Raw genomic sequence first — 19,331 nt, 5'->3', positions numbered from 1 at the left:
AATGATGTGTACCTTACGCTATTCATCATGCCTCTTAGGGAAACGGCACCTTAAAGACCTCTCCTGGGAGCAGTCCCACTGCACAGGCAGGCTCTTCCCTACAGTCAGGGAGAACACAACGAGCCTGCTCCCTGATCCATGCCCCCACCCCACCTCCCCGCCCACCACCACCAATTGCCTCCTCTGTTAGGACACTCAGAACCATATTTTGCCTTCAGCAACCAAAATGTCCCTCAGTCGGTCACTGGATGCAATTTTCTACTCCAAGCTACCTCTCCGGATTTTCATCTTTCTTCTGCATTTTGAGGTTCCATCCCACTGTGCCTTTTGTCTCATTGTACTTCCATGTGGCCCAGGCAGCCTAGGCAGGACGCCTCACTCCACAAGACCAGGGAAAGTTAAATTCTTTATGCCTCAGTTTTCCAGTCTGTACAATGGGAGAGGCAGTCACACTATCTCCCTCATAGGTTTTCCCTGTTGATTAAATGAGATAATGCATATACCGCACCTAACACAAAAAGCATTCCATAGAAGCTACAATCACCATTTTATTCCAAAATGGCTGAATATGGGCAGTTTCATGTGGTTCAGTGTAATAAGTTTTTTGACAGAAGTGGATAGGCTACAAATAAATATGACACACTTTCTCAACCCATCAGGCACAGGTGACATTTGGACAGTTTCCTATTTGGAAGGAAAGGTAACTCTGGAGTCCTGGCAGGTCTGGCCATAGCCTGAGAAGCTATTAGGCAGGAGAAGCCAGGGGACAGCTAAGAACCTGGCCACAGGACAGATGAGTCTCGGGAGGGAGATGAGAAAGTGGCAAAGAAAAATTAGGCTCAGATATTGTCAAACACACCCCAAACCCTACACCTTCCTCTGTTCAAGGTGTCCCCCAAAGCCTGCCCAAATCCCACTCATTCTTCAAAAGGCAGCTGCCCTGGCCCCAGTCAGCCTTCCCCCACCCAACTGATGTGTTCCCTCCCCACACCCCCACAGCATGCCTTTGGAAGGAGCCCGGGGCTCAGGCCTAAGCAGCAGCCTGCCTTCTATCAGCAGTAGTGACAAATGTGCCCACCTCCCATAGATGGTGAGCTTGGGCAGGCAGGTGCCTGGTCTTACAGTCTCTGTAGCCCCATAAGGCTTAGCTGGGGCCCTGAACAGAGCAGGCACTTAGAAAATGTTTGCTGAAAAGAAACTTCACTAAGCTCATAGTTTTCCCTGGGGGCCAGTCCTAGTGTTCCATCAAGAAGGGGGATATTAATCTTATAAAGCTTTTGCATTTGGGAGGAAGTGGGGTAGGAGGAAATTAAAGAAGCCCAGTAGGACAGGGACCAGTGGTAGTTGAGGAATCTCTACCCAGAAGGGCTGAGGGGCATTATTGGTTGGAAAAGTGGAACTGAGGACTTGTCTTGAAGCTGCACCGATGTAGCAAGCTCACTCCTTAAACTTAGATGGCATGTTATTTGGGGAGGCTTAGAGGTTAGCTGATAGAAAGGCAGTGGGTGGGGCTAGAGATGCCAACCCTTCCCCCAACCACCCAGGCTAACCAAGCTGGAATGCATCCCTTCCCTGCTAAATGTAAACGCAGTCCTTTCCCTGGCAGGGGCCCTTGCCTGACTTCAGATAACAAGCATCAGTCTGCCATGGCAAACCGGGCTTCATCTTGGCCCTATCCATGCGGGGTGACCTTGGCAACCCACTTAACCCCCCGGGGCTTCCATTTCCCCAGCTGTAAATCGAGCTCGACCTCTGTGCCACCATTCCTGGCATTTTGAGCAAAGCCTCAGAATCCTCCAGCCCACCCTTGGAGGCAGCGGCATAAAAGGGAGCGATTTAGAACTGGAGCCCTGGTCTATGGTATCAGGGAGCCCGGACTGGGCTCTGTTCCCGTGAGCTGTGCAGGCTGCAGCTGGGGATTACAGGGACGCCTCTGGAGGCCGCCGCCGGTGGCACCCCCTGCCCGAGAGGCCCCACTCTTGTCAGAATATTAACACCCTGGATGCATTTGTGTGTTACTCATGATTGCGACCATGGTTCCAAAAGGATTATGCAGCATGCATATTTATGAGACAAGCCCAGACAAAGACTACCACATTTTAAAAGATGCAATTATCTCTAAAAAGTTCAGCTTTATTTTCATGCTAATGAATACAATATTTTTAAGCAAACCTAATTGGTTTGCCTGGGCTCCCATAAAAGCTCTCAACTCATTAGAGCTCCGAGGTCCCCTTCAAAAGGGGCTTTAGAGGGAGCTGGGGGACCGAGGAGGGGGCCAGTGCTCAGGAGGCGCATTTTAGAACTTTCCAGTCTGTGTGTGCTGCTGTCTCTGAGCCCCCTCCCCTGCCCAAGCCCACTGGCTGGGTGACTGATGAAGCCTTTCAGGAGGGGCCACCCTGGCAGTATGAGTCTTGGGAATGTGAAAGCATCAGGGTAAACTGAGGGAAATGGGGCATGTCCTCCCTTCTCTCTGCAGAGGAAGCAAGGCCAGTGTTCCCGCCACCCCCACAACACTCAACACACCGCTGTCACCAAAGCTCTGGCTTCCTGGGTGGATGCTGGAATTCCACCCATAAACGGGGTCTTCTCCTCCCAGGCCATCAGCCAGGGCTTCGGGCTGGAACAGAGGGGAGGGGCTCCTTGAGGCTCCCCATTCCCAGACACCCTGTGCTCTGACATCCAGTCATTGCTTTAACATCACCCCAGCTTTCGGATTTCACTTTCTACTTTTGAAGCACATTGACATTTATTTTCTTATTACATGCATTTATGAAGTACAGGTTGTTTTCACCATTTTACAAATGAGAAAACTGAGGCCTGAAGACCCAGCTGTTCTTCATGACAAGCCAGATGGATCCAGAGGTTTCTATGACAAGGGGCTGTCCTCTGCCACCTGAGTGTCTGCCCCACTTCCTTCTGTGTCTCAGCCACCTCCCTGCAGTTTAAGCTGGATTCTTTTCCTACATGCCTGCCTAGGTCTTTCCTGATCCTCAGCTCCAGGGCACAGCGTACAGCTGTGCAGGCTGTACACTGTGCAATGCCGGAGGTGTTGCAGTCTGTGAATGGCGTCCCCTGGAGTTATACAGCACTACGCCCTACTCAGCATTCTTTCCTTCCACTGGCTTCCTTCAGGGCCATTTGGGGACTGGGACTATAAGTTGTGCAGCAAAGATGTATGGATCTAACCTGAGCTTTTCTGCTTGAATAACTCCCCTTAACCACCTCCTCGGGGCTGAAATTCAGGCATCTGGTAAAAACAGAGTATTGTTCAGGAAATGACCAACAGTCTCAGGAAGGGCCAACGGGGGTTGCAGCAAAGCAGAAATCAATGGAAAACACAGGCTGGGGATAAGCTCCAGCCTGGAAGTGAGGAGATGGGAGATCCAGACCTGGCACTGCCACTCAGTGGCTTTGTGACTCCATTTCTCCATCTGTAAAAGAGGAGGTTGGGCCTGCTAATCTCTGAGATTCCATCCAGGGCAGGCACAAGCATCTTTTGATTCTAGAGCAGATTTTCACGGAGAGTTGTTTAAAGAAACAATGACATAAAACTAGAATCCAATTGTAAAAGCAGAAAGACAGTCCTGGAAGTTAACCATGTAGGGTGTGATTTCCATACACTCCTCCCCACCCCTGTCTGGGGACATATTCTCAGAGGCAAGCTCAGGGGACCGACAGGGAGAAGGCTCGGAGCCTGAAGAGCAGTCAGGGGAGGCTGACAGGAGAGAAGGTATTGATTGGACCTTCAAAACCAAGCCAAGGCCAAGCACAGTGGCTCACACCTGTAATCCCAGCTCTTTGGGAGGCCAAGGCAGGATGGCTTGAGGCCAGGAGTTTGAGACCAGCCTGGACAACATAGAGAGATACAGTCTCTACATTTTTAAATTAGCTGGGCATGGTGATATGCGCCTGTATCCCTAACTTCTTGGGAGGCTCAGGTAGAAGGATTGCTTAAGCCTGGGAGGTCGAGGCTGCAGTGAGCTATTATCATGCCACTGCACTCCAGCCTTGGCAACAGAGACCCTGTCTCAAACAACAACAAGAAGCCAACTAATCAGAAAGGAGCAGGACAGATGTTCCAGAAAGGGCTGTGTGGTCCCAGCAATAAGGTGGACCCAGAGTCAATTCCGAGTCACTGTAGGCTGAGTGGCCAGGCTGAGAATGCAGACGGCTGCTGAGGAGGTGGAGAGAGTGGGAGTGGGGCCTGGATGGGGGTCTGCGATTTATAAAGCACCAAAGCCATGATCTCCTGAGTGCCCCACTACCGCCTAGGAAGGAAAATATTATGCTTCCCATTTTACAGATAAGTAAAAGGGAGCCTAAAAAGGTAAGGCTGCTTGTCTGAGAACATCCAGCATGAGCTGGGGCCAGAGTTCGGTCTAAGACCTCAGTCTCCTGATCCCCAATTTGGTTATCATTTTCGCTAAATTACCATGAGGCCAGATTTGCAGGGCCTTGAATAATAAGATCAAGATTCGCAATCATAGCTTATGGGCAATCAGGAGCTGTTGAAAGTCTACAAGCAGAGAAATGACTTGAAAGCCCCAGAGTTAAGGAGGGAATGTGAAAAGCTGGCAGGGTGGCAAGAGAACGCAGGGCCTCGGTAGGAGGAACACTATTTTGAGTTTAGCAAAAGGGACCATCCAAGGCTGTCTGCAGTTTTGCCTTGGAGAGGCTGAGTTACGTGTTCTCCACTGGGCCTTCAAGTGGTCCACAGAGGGATAACCCAAGGTCTTTGGCAATTGAATTCCCAACCCGGGAATGTCACTTTAAGGACCCAACCAAAGCTCAGAGCCAAACCCCACACACCCCAGTCTTTACACCACCTAACTGGCTTACATCTATCAAAGTAATTTTTAAGGGGGAATTTTATATGAAGGTAATTACGCTCAGCTAAACTAATTTTATTAAACAATGCTGCCTTAATGACAAACAAATCTGTTATTAATATGTAACTGAGCAGCTATTTCATTCAATTTGCAGCATCGGTAATGAGCCCTGTGGTCGCAAGAGCCCAGAAGCACCCCTTTCTGAGGTAGGCAGCATGGCCCAGTGGCCAGAACCCGGGACCTGGCCCAGCCCTGCCATGGACGTGTATGATTCAGAATGGCCCTTCTCTCACCGAGCGGTTTCTCTCTATAAAATAAAGGGCTTGAACTGGAAGTATCCCAAGGGAATGCCCACTCAGCAGCTTTAGGGGCTGAGAATCTGGATGGACTTTCAGTGTTTACTGTGTGCCTCAGTTTCCTCATCTGTAAAGTGGGGATAATAATAGTGCCTATCTCATAGGGTAATTGTGAGCATTCATTGAGTTTGTAGATGTAAAGTGCTTAAGGCATTGTGCAGGTACATATGAAGTGTTATACAAACGCTTTTCATTTTCTGTTTATATTCCCAGAACCAGGAATATGGGCTAGGGGACAGCAGGGAGCTGACAGCCATGAATGGAATGAGTGAGGGCTCCTGCTTCCCCCAATTATGAACCCTCCTTGATCCTGGGTTTCCTGGGGTCCCTTCTCTCCTGCCCCCTTCTAGGAGGGTGAGAAACAACACTACAGACAGTGAAAAGAGACAGGTAATCAGATTCCAGCCCCGACCCTGTCCTCGGGTGCCGGCAGGACTGTGCCTCTGCTTCCTTAGCTCCCCATGTGGGTCATTCTCACTGCCCTGCCTACAGCGACAGCTGTCCTAGGGGACAGACAGGATCATTGAGTGGCTCTCAAACATGCAAAGTGGGTCGGGATAACCTGGAGAGTGTATAGGAAAATGCTGACCCCAGGCCCTTCCCCCAGAGGCTTGATGTCACAGATCCCTCCCTAGATCTGTGTGCTTGGGATACCCTCTTGAGAACCCTTGAACCTCTGGCAGTTCTGCCAGGAACTCCACACTGCTGCCTTTGTGGTGTGACTGTGCCTATGCTGCAGGTGAGGAAAGAGCAGTTTCAAGAAGAAAATTAGGCTGGGTGCAGTGGCTCATGCCTGTAATCCCAACACTTTGGGAGGCCAAGGCAGGTGGATCAGATGAGGCCAGGAGTTCAAGACCAGCCTGGCCAACATGGCAAAACCCCGTGTTTACTAAAAATACAAAAATTAGCCGGGCATGGTGGCGCACGTCTGTAATCCCAGCTACTCGGGAGGCCGAGGCAGGAGAATCGCTTGAACCCAGAAGGCAGAGGTTGCAGTCAGCCAAGATCGCACCACTGCACTCCAGTCTGGGCGACAGAGCGAGACTCTGTCACAAATAAAAAATAAAAAAATGAAAAGAAGAAAACTAACTTGTAGAGTTAATGGGGAAGGGTAATATCCATCACAGACCCATTGGTTCCTCCTCCTTTGGAATTCACCTAGGTGGGGGGCATTGGGGAGGGCGGGACAGTCTGAGCAGCTTTCAGTTACTTTGGGGCCATGCTGATAGGATGCCGTTTGTGAACCACCTGCTGCAGAAACCCGCTGTCTTGGCTGCTGAGAAACATGAACCCCTTGAGATTGAGCCTTTCATCGAGAAGCTATTAACATACCATCACTTCAACTGTCACACAGACAATCGCCTACCCAGGGTCACAAGAGCCCCCAGGCCCATCACAGTGCCCGACTTTCTGCAATTAGGCCCTCCCTGGGAGGAAGCATTGTGTCTCCAGAAGGCCTCTATTAAATCTCAACATGCAAATGTACGTGCAGCATTTAAGCCCCTTAGCAGGGCCCTCTCTCCCTCCTCTCCATCCCAATGTGACTGTGGGTGGAGACCATGTGACCTCTGCTAGCCATGAAATGTGATTGGAAGGATCACGTATCTCCCCAAGGCTGAGGCAGTAAAAAGCTGTTTACAAATAATGGAACCCCAGACTAACAATGAATTAAGGGTTCTTATCAGCTCATGTAACAAAAAGTCCCAAAATAGGCAACCCAGGGTTGGCTGGGCAGCTCACTAGCTCACATCACCAGGAATCCAGATTCCATGTCTCCGCCAGTTTCACCACAGTGGCTTCTGCCCTCAGTCTTGCCCCTCCTGGTTCCAAGACAGCTGCATGACAGCATATTAATCATCTACTGCTGAGTAACAAACGACCCCAAAACTCAGTGGCTTAAAAAGGCAATAAACAGTTATGATCTCACACGGCTGCTGCAGATGAGGAATTCTGGCACCACGTGGCTGTTGGTTCTGGCTTGAGGTCCCTCATGAGGCGGCAGTCAAGATGCTAGCAGGGCTGCAGCCATCTGAGGGCTGGACTGGGACAGGAGGATGCACTTCCAAAAAGGCTCGCTCACTCACACAGCTGGCGGGCTAGGGCTGCTTGCTGGCAGGGGGCCTCAGCTCCTCCCTACGTGGGCCTCTCCGTAGGCTGTTTGGGTGTCCTCATGACGTGGTGGCTGGCTTCCCCCAGAGTCAGACAGCCGCGAGAGCAAAGCTGAAGCACCAATGTCTTTTATGGCCTTTCCTCGAATGTCACACACTTTCACCTCTGTTACATTCTCTTCATTGAAAGCCAGTCGCTAAGTGTGGCCCACGCTCAGCAGGAGGGGAAATGGGCTCCACCTTTGGAAGCAAGGTCAAAGAATTGGGGGACTTTTTAACTATAACAAATAGTGCCCACACTGGAAGAGAGAAACTCAAGCAAAAGTTTCCTCCCTGCTCTGCCGCCATCGGAGAGAAAGTTTTTCCCAGAAGTCATCGGCAGTCTTTCCCTTAGGTGTAATTGGCCAGAAATGAGTCACATGCTTACCTCTAGACCAATCACTGACAAGGGAAACAGACGCCCATGGCTGGCTTAGACCAATCATGAGTCTTCCTCTGAGATTGGGCACATTTCTGACTTAACAAAATTAGGTTTCGGGTAGCAAGGGAGTAGGGGGAAATGGCCGTTGGGTGGGTGGGCAGGAGTGTCAGCCATGTTGTTCTATTGAGTGGGTAACTGGGAAAAATTAGATGCTGAGGTGGTGATAATCCACAAATAGGAAACCTGGTCATTTATTAACTGCTTTCCATACTATCAGCTAGAAATGAATCCGTTCCAGGATCTGCTCTGTAAAAAGGGTCTGCTCACTGTGGTTGGCGTTTCATCCCTTCGGGCCGTCTGGTTTTAGACTCAGAGGACTCGGCTTAGAGTCCGCGTCTACTATGTGTTGCCTGTGCAGCCCCTAGAAGTACCTTCTCTGAGCTTCAGTTTCCAGCTGCATACACAGGGGATGATCATCGCTACTTCACAAGGCTCTTAGGACTACTGGAATATGCTTTGTAATTCATCTGGGGTTAAGGCCATGTGCATTCTGATCATTGCTGTTTGCCCTGGGTTTGGGGTGAGAGGCCAAATACCACCAGAGGGTTTTTTGTCCCCTCTTTCTTTCCATCTCTAATTTCCAATACACAGTGCCAAAAAAAGAGGAGAACTGAGCACAGAGGCCAAATCCCCAGCATAAAAACAGTGGTGCCATTGTAAACGCCTCCAGCGATTGCGCCCCACCCAGCTGAGGAAGCCCCATTCCCAGCCCCACTTAACAACGTGCGGCCTGATTTAATATGAGCAGCTGATCTCATTGCTTCCATAGCAAGTTTAATTTGCTGGGAAAGCGAGTTGGTGAGGTTCTAATAATGCAGAGCCGCAAATAATACCAAAGAGAGTTTGCATTATGATAACTTTCCAATTAAAATGGATTAATGGAGGAGAAACAGCAGCAGTAGTGTCTAGACAACATATTACTGAATCCTTGGAGAGGGAGATGGAAAGGAGTTGGGGGAACAAGCGGCAGCAAGATAAACAGGTGAACTTTATAAGTTGGAGGCACACTTGTGTGGGTGTGACGGGAAGTACCAGGGAGGGCTCCTTACCCCTGGTGCCCCATCAGTTACAATACCTGGACTTTGCACCATTTGAGAAAACCAGTCTTTTAGGACCCAGAGGCCTTTGGTCTTTTGGATTCCTTATTAAAATGCAAACAGCACCTTCCGTTTCCTCGGCTGACCTTACAGCTGGGATTAGCCTGCAGCTACTGGAGAGCAGACTGTGTGACTGTGCGACAGAACAGAGGCCCCGGCTGAGCCTTGGAAGACCCACATCGACCAGGTGTTGACACCTGTGGTGTTCTTGTCAGGGCTTCACTACAGGACTCAAAACAAATCCTCCATAACTATGCTAGTAACCCCCTGACCTCTGACCACTGCTGAGTGATCCAAGGGGTCCATCTAGAACCTCTATCCCAGCAACCTGAATTTTAGACCTGAGAGATACAGGGTCTGGGCTGGACTGGGGCTAGTGCTCATCCCTGAGAGCAGGTTCAGGACAGAAAGAGCCACAGACTGTTGCTGCCAATCTTGAGCTACCCCGGGCCCCACCCATGGAGGCCAAATTAGTTGATTTTCTTGCCATTCTGTGAAATCCCCCCAGGATCCATGTTCCTCTCCTTTGCTTAAACTGACTAGACATTTCTGATGCCTGCAAACAAAAGAGCTTTAATCTATCACTTCTTACTTGTGGGACCTGGTGAAAGTCATTTAACCTCACTGAGCCTCTGTTTTCTCTCCTGTAAGATGGGAGATACACACATCCCCACCTTGCAAGGTTGGTTGCCTCCTGTATTGGTAACATGATGTGTTAGGGTTAGATCACCATTTAAGTCCCTCTCAGCCCTGAAGTTCGGAGATCGTAGAAGTAATCCTTGAGGGATAGGGGAAGAGGCTGGCTGGACCACAGAGGCCAGGAGACCAAGAAGCCCAAGGACCTAATTCCACCAGCATCAGTAACTTGCAGGGCATAATAAATATCTCAACACCAGAACTGAGGCTCCTTGCAGAAATCTCCAAGGCTCCCCTATGCCTGGGAAGGCTCTGATTTCTTGCAAAGCCAGGAGTCCCATGAGCCAGTCCCTCATGAGTGAAGTACTGGCCATGTGCTGCCCCCTGCAGGCCTGCCTTTCTCATCACCTTTCTCATCAAACAGGCAAAGAAAAAGCCCATGTAATTGAATACAATCACAAAGGCAGTATTTAGCAGCATTCATCCCCCATTTTATCTCATTCTGCCATGTCCTTCCCTGTCTATAGATGAATATGAAACTACCACTGAAAGCAAATCATTCCAGGAATAAGGAAAATATGAGGCAAGAAACTCCTAGGGAAAGTTCACCACCTACACACACACACACACGAGTCAGAACTGAGTCCAAGGCCAGTCTTGAGGGGAAAAGAGAGAAGAGTTGCATTCATTGCACACCTGCTATGAGCCGTGCATTAGATCCTCCATTATCTCATTACCATCATAATCTCTCAGGACAGGTATCACCAACACCCATTTTACAGATGATGAAACTGAGGCCCCAAGTAGTGAACTCACAAAGAATTCATAAGTATATGGTCTGTTTGAGTCTAAAGGCTTCCCTCTTCACAGATGATTTTCCATCTTTTTTAAGTAGAAATTGCATTCTCAAATGAAATCTCAGGTCCCGTGTATAAGAGAAACAATAAAAGCACAGCTCTCTGATGGAATTGGTTGGTGATTGTATGGCAAGGGACAAGGGGTGGGGGAGCTCTAGCCCTGCCCACCAGCCTCTCTCAGGCCTCCCCTTCCTGGAGCAGTGCGTTGGTCACAGAGCCCAGGGTGAGAACCACGGCCTCCTTCCCAGATGGGGCTTGTTAGAGGTCCTAGATCAAACCCACTGTTTTCCAATTAACCAAAAAAGAAAGCACTACCTCTTTGGAAAACTAGGTTGAAATTTTGGTTCTGCCATTTATTAGCTATGCAAGTTTCCCAACTGATCTGAACCTAAGATTCCCTGGGTCGCTCTAGTCCAACATAATCCAAGAGAAACATAATGTGAGCCACACATGTAATTTTAAGTTTTCTAATAGCTGCCTATTTATTTATTGAGATAAGGTCTCACTCCCTTCACCCAGGCTAGAGTGCAATGGAGCAATCATGACTCACTGCAGCCTGGACTTCCTGGGCTCAGGTGATTCTCACACCTCAGCCTCCTGAATAGCTGGGACTACAGGAACATGACACCACACCTGGCTAATTTTTTGTATTTTTAGTAGAGATGGGGTTTCGCCATGTTTCCCAGGCAGGTCTCAAACCTCTGGGCTCAAGTGATCTGCCCACCTCAGCCTCCCAAAGTGCTGGGGTTACAGGCATGTGCCACTGCACCCAGCCCAGTTGCCTTTAAAAAAAAATTTAATGGGTGAAATCAATATTGACAATAGTTTGCTTAATCCAATATATTCAAAACATGATCATGTCAACATGTCATCAATATAAAAACTTATCAAGATATTTTGCACTCTTTTTCAAACTGAGTCTTCCAAATTTGATGTATATTTGACACTTTCAGCACATCTCAATTCAGACACTACATTCTCACTGGAAATACTTGATCTGTATTTGGACCAAGAGGATACTTCTTGATGAGGGAGTAAACTCACATAGACAAATTGTTTCAAACGTGTTTAAAAGTTTTCCAGTAACTGGGCTATTAGTTTTTAAACATATATTAAAGCTAGATAAAGTTTAAAATTGAGTTCCTCAGTCTCACTAGCCATATTCTATGTGCTCAACAGCCACATGTGGCTAGTGCCTGCTGTATAGGAAAACACAGCGGTGGTCCCTGTCTTCCTGTCTTGGTAAGGAATAATCCAGAGATGTGTGTCCACTCCCCAACCACTTCCAAATTTACAAGGCCTGCAGCTACCTCCCTTAAATTCACTCAAGACCTAACCCATAGGATAGGACAGAAGAAAGATCCACAAATCTCTATGGGCTCACAGGAGTTGGGACAGTCTCCAAAACCCTCTGAATTCTCTCTCTCTCTCTGTCACGCGCGCGCACACACACACACACACACACACACACAGAGTCTCCCACCCTGATTCCTCTCACTACTCAGCTCTTCTGGTCTGCATGCTGTGGGTGGCAAGAAACCGAGACCCTCTCAACATATCTTCCTATAATACTCTGAGGGTAGGAAGGCTTCAAAAAGCTTGTAGTGGGGACACAAGAATAGGAATTACAGTCCAGCCAAGCCTTAGAGAACTCTGCTGAGAGGTTAGAGTTGGGGCCAGGGAGGCCCAACAGACCCTACATTTCCCTGGGATTGCCAGGGGAGGCAACACCTTCTCAAAAGCCTTTGATCCCTTCTGCAGGAGCCTCCAGACTCACTTTCCCCAGCAAGCACTACTGTCATAGCCAACCCTCATGTCCATAAGCTCCTGAAGAATATCGTAGAGAGGACACCACGATCCAAGAATGGACTCCTCCCTTGCTTCTTTCTTTTATCATTTTTTAAATTGTGGTAAAATATGCATAACATAAAATTTATTATTTAACCATTTTTAAGTGTACAGTTCAGTGGAATTAAGTATATTCACATTGTTGTGCAACCATCATCACCAGCCATCTGCAGAACCCATTTCATCTTGTAGAACAGAAAGTCTCTACCCACTAAGCAGTAATTCCACATTACCCCTACCTCCATCCCCTGGCAACCACCATCCTACTTTCTGCTGCTGTGAATTTGACTGTTCTAAGTACATCACATAGGCGGAATCATGTATTTGTCCTTTTGTGCCTGGCTTACTTCACTTAACATAATGTCTTCAAGATTCATCCATGTTGTAGCAAGTGTCAGGATTTCCCTCTATTTTAGAGCTGAATAATATTCCATTGTATGGATACACCATATTTTGTTTACTCATCCAATGGACAGTTGGGTTGCTTCCACATTTTGGTTGTAAAACTAAATGGTTCAGCTGAGGCAGGCAGATCACAAGGTCAGAAGTTCAAGACCAGCCTGACTGACATAGTGAAACCCTGTCTCTAGTAAAAATACAAAAATTAGCTGGATGTGGTGGCACGCACCTGTAATCCCAGCTACTCAAGAGGCTGAGGCAGGAGAATCGCTTGAACCCGGGAGGCAGAGGTTGCAGTGAGCCAAGATCGCGCCACTGCACTCCAGCCTGGGCGACAGAGCGAGACTCCATCTCAAAAAACAAACAAAAAACAAAAAACAACAACAACAACAAAAAACAAATGGTTCATAGGAACATTGTAAATAGTGCTCCTGTGAACACAGATGTACAAATATCTGTTTGAGATCATGCTTTTACTTCTTTTGGTTTTACACCCAAAGTAGGATTGCAGGAACATATGATAATTCTATGTTTCATTTCTTGAAGAATCATCATACTGTTTCCCACAGCAGCTGCTCCATTACACATTCTTGCCAGCAGTACATGAGGATTCAAATTTCTCCATATCCTCATCCTCACCAACACTTGTTATTTCCTGGGGTTTTTTTATAGTAGCCATCCAATTGGGTATGACAAGTTATCTCATTGTAGTTTTGATTTCCATTTCCCTAATGATTAGTAATATTGAGCATCTTTTCACGTGTTTATTGGCCAGTTGTATACCTTTTTTGGAGATTTATCTATTCAAGTCTCCATCCTACTTTTTAATTGGGCTGTTTTGTTGTTGGTATTGTTGAGTTGCAGGAGTTCTTTATCCATTCTAGTTATCAGTTCCTTCTCAGATATATAATTGGCAGATATGAAATGTGATTTGCAAACCCATTCCGTGGGTTGCCTTTTCACTCTGTTGACAGTGTCCTTTGATGCAGAAAAGTTTTTAAGTTTGATGAAGTTCACGTTATCATTTTTTTCTTTCGTTGCCTGTGCTTTTGGTGTCATATCCAAGAAATCTGCCAAATCCAATGTCTTGAAGCTTTTCCCTATATTTTCTTCCAAGAGTTTTATATTGGCTCTTACGTTTATGTCTTTGATCCATTTTGAATTAATTTTTGTATATGATGTAAGGCAAGGGTCCAATGTCATCTTTTTTTTGCAGGTGGATATCCAGTGTCCCCAGTGCCATTTGTTGAAAAGACTGTTCTTCCCCTATGGAATGGTTTTGGAACCCTTGCCAAAAATCATTTGACTGTATATGTGAAGGTTTGTTTCTGGGCTCACCCTTCTATTCCAATAGTCTATATGTTTGTCTTTTCGCCAGTGCCACACTGACTTAGTTACTATAGCTTTGTATTAAGTTTTTACATCAGGAAATGTGAGAATTCCACCTTTGTTCTTCTTTTTTTTAATTTAATTATATATTTAACATCTTCTTGGATAGCAATGTTCTTCTTTTTTAAGATTGCTTTGGCTATCAGGAGTCTTTTGAGATTTCATATGAATTTTAGGATGGACTTTTCTATTTCTGCAAAAAATGTCATTGGAATTTTGGTAGGGATTACATTGAATCTGTAGATCACTTTTGGTGGTGTTGACATCTTAACAACATTAAGTCTTCCAGTCCATGAACACATGACATCTTTCTATTTCTTTATGTCTCCTTTAATTTCTTTCTGCAACATCTTGGAGTTTTTAGTGTATAAGTCTTTCACTTCCTTGGTTAAGTTTACTCCTAAGTACAGACATACATCTCTTAATGATGGGGCTATGTTCTGAGAAATGTGTCATTAGGCAATTTTGTCATTGTGCAAACACCATTGAGTGTACTTACACAAACCTAGATGGTATGGTCTACTACGCACATAGGCTATATGGTATAGCCTGTTGCTACTAGACTACAAACCTGTACAGCATGTTACTGTAGTAACAGTGTCATCATCTTATGGGACCACCTTCACATATGCAATCTGTTATTGACCAAAACGTCATTATGTGGCTCATCACTGTATTTTTTATGCTATCATAATTTCTCAAATTTTTTAAGATTATTTATTATTAGTGTATAGAAATGTGACTAATTTTTGTGATTTTGTATACTGCAACTTTGCTGAGTTCATTTTCTCCTGTTTGTTTCTTAAGCTTGGTGGTGGGTACATGGTTTGTCATGCCTGGAATATTTTATTAAAAAACACATACCTGGCTGGGTGCAGTGGCTCACACCCATAATCCCAGCACTTTGGGAGGCTGAGGTGTGCGGATCACTTGAGGCCAGGAGTTCGAGATCAGCCTGGGCAACATGGCAAAACCACGTCTCTACTAAAAATACAAAAATTAGCCAGGCATGGTGATGCATGCCTGTAATCCCAGCTACTCGGGTGGCTGAGGCACGAGAATCTCTTGAACCCATTAGGCAGAGGTTGCAGAGAGCCAAGATCGTGCCATTGGATTCCAGCCTAGGCAACAGAGTGAAACTCTGTGAAACTCCAAGAAAAAAGAACACATACCCTAGGCCCCAAACATGCTCCCACTAAAGTAACTCCCCTCCAGCTATAATTGGAGTTTGGCAGGGGGTGGGTAGTCTTTGGGCTGTTACTGAGCTCACTGGACCTACAGTGGCCCCATCTCTTTTCTGCACCCTGGGAGATACCAGCTTCCCAGGAAGGTGATGCTGCCTAAGAATAAGCAATGCAGCCACAGCGTGTCTAAAGAGGAAGATGGGGGCCCTGAGCTGGGAGTCAGGCCTCTGGATGGGAAGATGGGCTTCATCACTGATGCTTGTGGGACCCTGGACAATCCCTTCCATGGGCCTTAGTTTCCTCCCCTGTAAAATACGCAGGTAGAACTTGATAATCTCGAGAGCCCTTTGAGCATAAAGGAAGTCAGAGGTTGTGCAGGCACAGAGTCGCTAGGGCCTGAATGGGGTGAGGGTCTCAGCTTCAGGTCATATCCACATCACTGCTCTGCAGCATTATAGATCACTGACAAAAAAGTCCCTGTGATTTCCTGAAGCTCTGAGTTCTCCACCTCTGTGCCTTTAAAACAATAATAAATTACTTGTAATATAATTATTATAAAAATAACTCCTTGTGCTGCAGTTTGTAAAATACTTTCACATTCATTCCTCATTTTGCAAATGAGAAAACTGAATCCCAGAAAGCTGGTGTTCCTTGCCCCTAGCTAAGCTAGTAAATAGTATACCTGGTGTGGATTAAAATGAATTCCAGTTCAGCTGCTCAAAATGCTATGTGGTCACCATGGAATAATGAGTTAGTTAAGGGAGAGGGAAAATAGAGGGAATGAGAAAAAAAAAACTCAAAAAAATTAGAATCATATATTAATTTAATACAGTTAATTTTCCACAAGGTCTAATGGAAATGGAAAATCAAGATGTGGACTCCGAGTGTAATGAAATATTGCTCAAATATTTACAATAGCCTTGATCTGGTGTTAAAAGGAAAGATCAGTCCTACTCTTACTTCCTTGCCAGCCCTGAGCCCCCTCTGCCACTGTGTGTCAAAGCACTTGGCTGGCAACTGATGACAGCCTCACTCCTTCCATAGCATCCCTCCTTTGACTGAGTACTTCCCCAGGCCTACCCCAAATTCCATCATTTCCCTTCTCTGGGGAATGCTGCAACCACAAGACAACAGGTAAGGAATGTGGATGTCAGCATAAGTCTACAAAAAGTGAGAAAGACGGAAACAGGGAAGTTGAATGAGACAAAGATGACAGAATTTTCAATAAGGGTGCCAAGACCATTCAATGGGGAAAGAATGTCTCTAACAAAAGAAGAAAGAGTCTCTTCAACAAATGGTCCTGGAACAGTTGGATAGCACACTCAAAACAGTGAAGTTGAACCCTTACCTCACTCCATACTCAAAATTTAACTCAAATAGATCAATGACCTAAATGAAAGAGTTAAAGCTTTATAAAACTATTAGGGGAAACATAGGGGTAAGTCTTTATGACCTTGGATTTGGCAATGGAATCTTAGATTTTACACCCAATACATGAACAACAAAATAAAAACTGGTAAATTTGACTTCATAAAAGTTAAATTTTTTGTGCACCAAAAGACAGTAACAAGAATGTGAAAAGGCAATATAAAAAATGGGAGAAAATAGTTGCAAATAGTATATCTGATAAAGATCTAGTATTCAGAATATATAAAGAACCCTTACAACAATGAAAAGACAAACCAATTTTTAAAAAGCAAATGATTCAAATAGACATTTCTCCAAAAAAGATACATGAGTGACCAAAAAGCGCTTGAAAAAATTCTTGGCCAGACATGGTGGCTCACACCTGTAATCCCAGCACTTTGGGAAGCCAAGGTGGGCAGATCACTTGAGGTCAGGAGTTCAAGACCAGCCTGGCCAAAATGATGAAACCCCATCTCTACTAAAAATACAAAAATTAGCCAGGTATGCTGGCGCTGTCTGTAATTCCAGCCTCTCGGGAGGCTGAGGCACGAGAATCACTTAAACTTGGGAGGCAGAGGTTGCAATGAGCCAAGATCGCACCACTGTACTCCAGCCTGGGTAACAGAGCAAGACTCTGTCTCCAAAAACAAAACGAAGAAAAAAATTTCAACATCATTGGTTATTACAGAAATGCAAATCAAAACCATGATGAAATAAATGCCAGTTAACACCCAGCAGAATGGCTACGTTTTTTTTTTGTTTGTTTTTTTTGAGATAGTGTCTTACTCTGTCACCCAGGCTGGAATGAAGTGGTGCAATCATGGCTTACTGTAGTCTCAACCTCTCAGGGTCAAACAATCCTCCCAATTCCTCCTCTCTGGTAGTTGGGACTACAAGTGCACACCACCACACCCAGCTAATTTTTCTATTTTTTGTAAAGACAGGGTTTTGCCATGTCCCCTAGGCTGGTCTCAAACTCCTGGGCTCAAGTAATCTGCCCACCTCAGCCTTCCAAAGTGTTGGAATTACAAGCGTGAGCCACCACACCCAGCCAACAAGTTTTAAAAATGGAAAATAACAAGCGTTGGTGAAGGTATGGAGAAATAGGAACCCTCATAACATTGCTTGTGGGAATGTAAAATGGTACAGCAGCTGTGGAAAACAGTATGGTGGTTCCTCAAAGTGCTAAACATAGAATTACCACATGACTCAGCAATTCCTCTTCTAGGGTACATACCCAAGAGAAACGAAAACATATGTCCACATAGGAACTGGTACACGAATGTTCATAGCAGCATAATTCATAATAGCCAAAAGGTGAAAACAATTCAAGGATCCATCAGCTGATGAGTGGATAATCAAATATTGGTATATCCATACAATGGAATATTACTCAGCCATAAGAAGGAATTAAGTACTGATACATGCTACAACATGGATTAACACCCAAAACATTATGCTACATGAAATACGCCAGACACAAAAGATCCCATATTGTATGAATTCTCTTTTTTTTTTTTTTTTTTTTTGATTGAGACAGAGTCTTGCTCTGAAGTGCAGTGGTGCAATCCCAGCTCACTTCAACCTCTGCCTCCTAGGTTCAAGCAATTCTCGTGCCTCAGCCTCCCAGGTAGCTGGGATTACAGGCACCCACCACCACACCAGGCTAATTTTTTGTATTTTTAGTAGAGATGGAGTTTCACCATGTTGGCCAGGCTGGTCTTGAACTCCTGGCCTCAGGTTTCCACCTGCCTCAGCCTCCCAAAGTGCTGGGATTACAGGTGTGAGCCACCGTGCCCTGCTCTTTTCTTTTATACGAAATATCTTGAATAGGCAAATCTGTAGAGACAGAAAACAGATTAGTGATTGCCAGGGGATGGAAGGAGGAGGAATGAGGAGTGGTTACTTAATGGGTATGGAGTGTTCTGCTGGGGTGATGAAAAAGTTTTGAACCTAGGAAGAAGTAGTGGTTGCACAACATTGTAAATTCACTAAATGCCACTGAATTGTACCTATTAAAATGGTTAATTGTATGTTGTGTACATTTCACTTCAATTTCCTAAAAAGGTAAGAGAGATAGCTAGGCCAGGACAAGTTTCACTTCAATTTCCAAAAGGAAGGAACAGAGATAGCCAGGCCAGGACAGCGACAGGGATGTAGAGAGGGACTGAGAGGGAAGAGATGGAGCAATCAGGAAAAGCTGTGGCCCATTACCAGAAATTTATTAGTGCTGTTCGGTCAGCGGGTTGCCAGCTAAATTTAATATGGATCTATATACAAAGAAAATGCCTCGTTCTACATTATGAATATTTAATCATGCATGGGTCGGGCAATTTCACAGAAGTAATTAAAAGCAGTCTTTTGTTTATTGCTCAAAAATGATAGCAACCTGCTGACCAGAGCTGCAGACACAGTGACATATTGAAAACGTTACCTACTGACATATGTTATTAAAGAGGAATTAAGGGTCACTCACTTCCCTCCCCTTAGAAACTAATCGCTCCTAAGCCCTCCTGCCTGCTCACTCCAGAGCACAGCTCTGAGGGGAAGGCACCTCCCAGCTGAGGCTGGAGAGGCAGGCCAGCACCCCTTGGTCTAGAACAGCAGTCCCCAACCTTTTTAGCACCAGGGACTGGTTTCGTGGAAGACAATTTTTCCACGGACGGGAGTTGGTGGGGGATGGTTTCAGGATGAAACTGGTCCACTTCAGATCATCAGGCATAAGGAGCACACAACCTAG

The 19,331-nt window shown here is 45.9% G+C and overlaps 3 annotated features.

The window, feature by feature from the left end:
- Positions 6,117–6,697: an enhancer, noted in NCBI's record as "NANOG-H3K4me1 hESC enhancer chr15:69819114-69819694 (GRCh37/hg19 assembly coordinates)". NCBI's record gives its function as "activates a minimal SCP1, AML or CMV promoter by ChIP-STARR-seq in naive H9 embryonic stem cells {active_cell/tissue: H9 hESC(naive)}" and the evidence as "EXISTENCE:reporter gene assay evidence [ECO:0000049][PMID:30033119]".
- Positions 6,698–7,278: an enhancer, noted in NCBI's record as "NANOG-H3K4me1 hESC enhancer chr15:69818533-69819113 (GRCh37/hg19 assembly coordinates)". NCBI's record gives its function as "activates a minimal SCP1, AML or CMV promoter by ChIP-STARR-seq in naive H9 embryonic stem cells {active_cell/tissue: H9 hESC(naive)}" and the evidence as "EXISTENCE:reporter gene assay evidence [ECO:0000049][PMID:30033119]".
- Positions 9,806–9,975: an enhancer, noted in NCBI's record as "active region_9658". NCBI's record gives its function as "activates an Ori minimal core promoter by ATAC-STARR-seq in GM12878 lymphoblastoid cells {active_cell/tissue: GM12878}" and the evidence as "EXISTENCE:reporter gene assay evidence [ECO:0000049][PMID:35858748]".

The sequence above is a fragment of the Homo sapiens genome, chromosome 15 (genome assembly GCF_000001405.40).
Source record: "Homo sapiens chromosome 15, GRCh38.p14 Primary Assembly".
In the NCBI taxonomy this organism is placed as follows: domain Eukaryota; kingdom Metazoa; phylum Chordata; class Mammalia; order Primates; family Hominidae; genus Homo; species Homo sapiens.
This window is presented reverse-complemented; position numbering and strand designations above follow the sequence as displayed.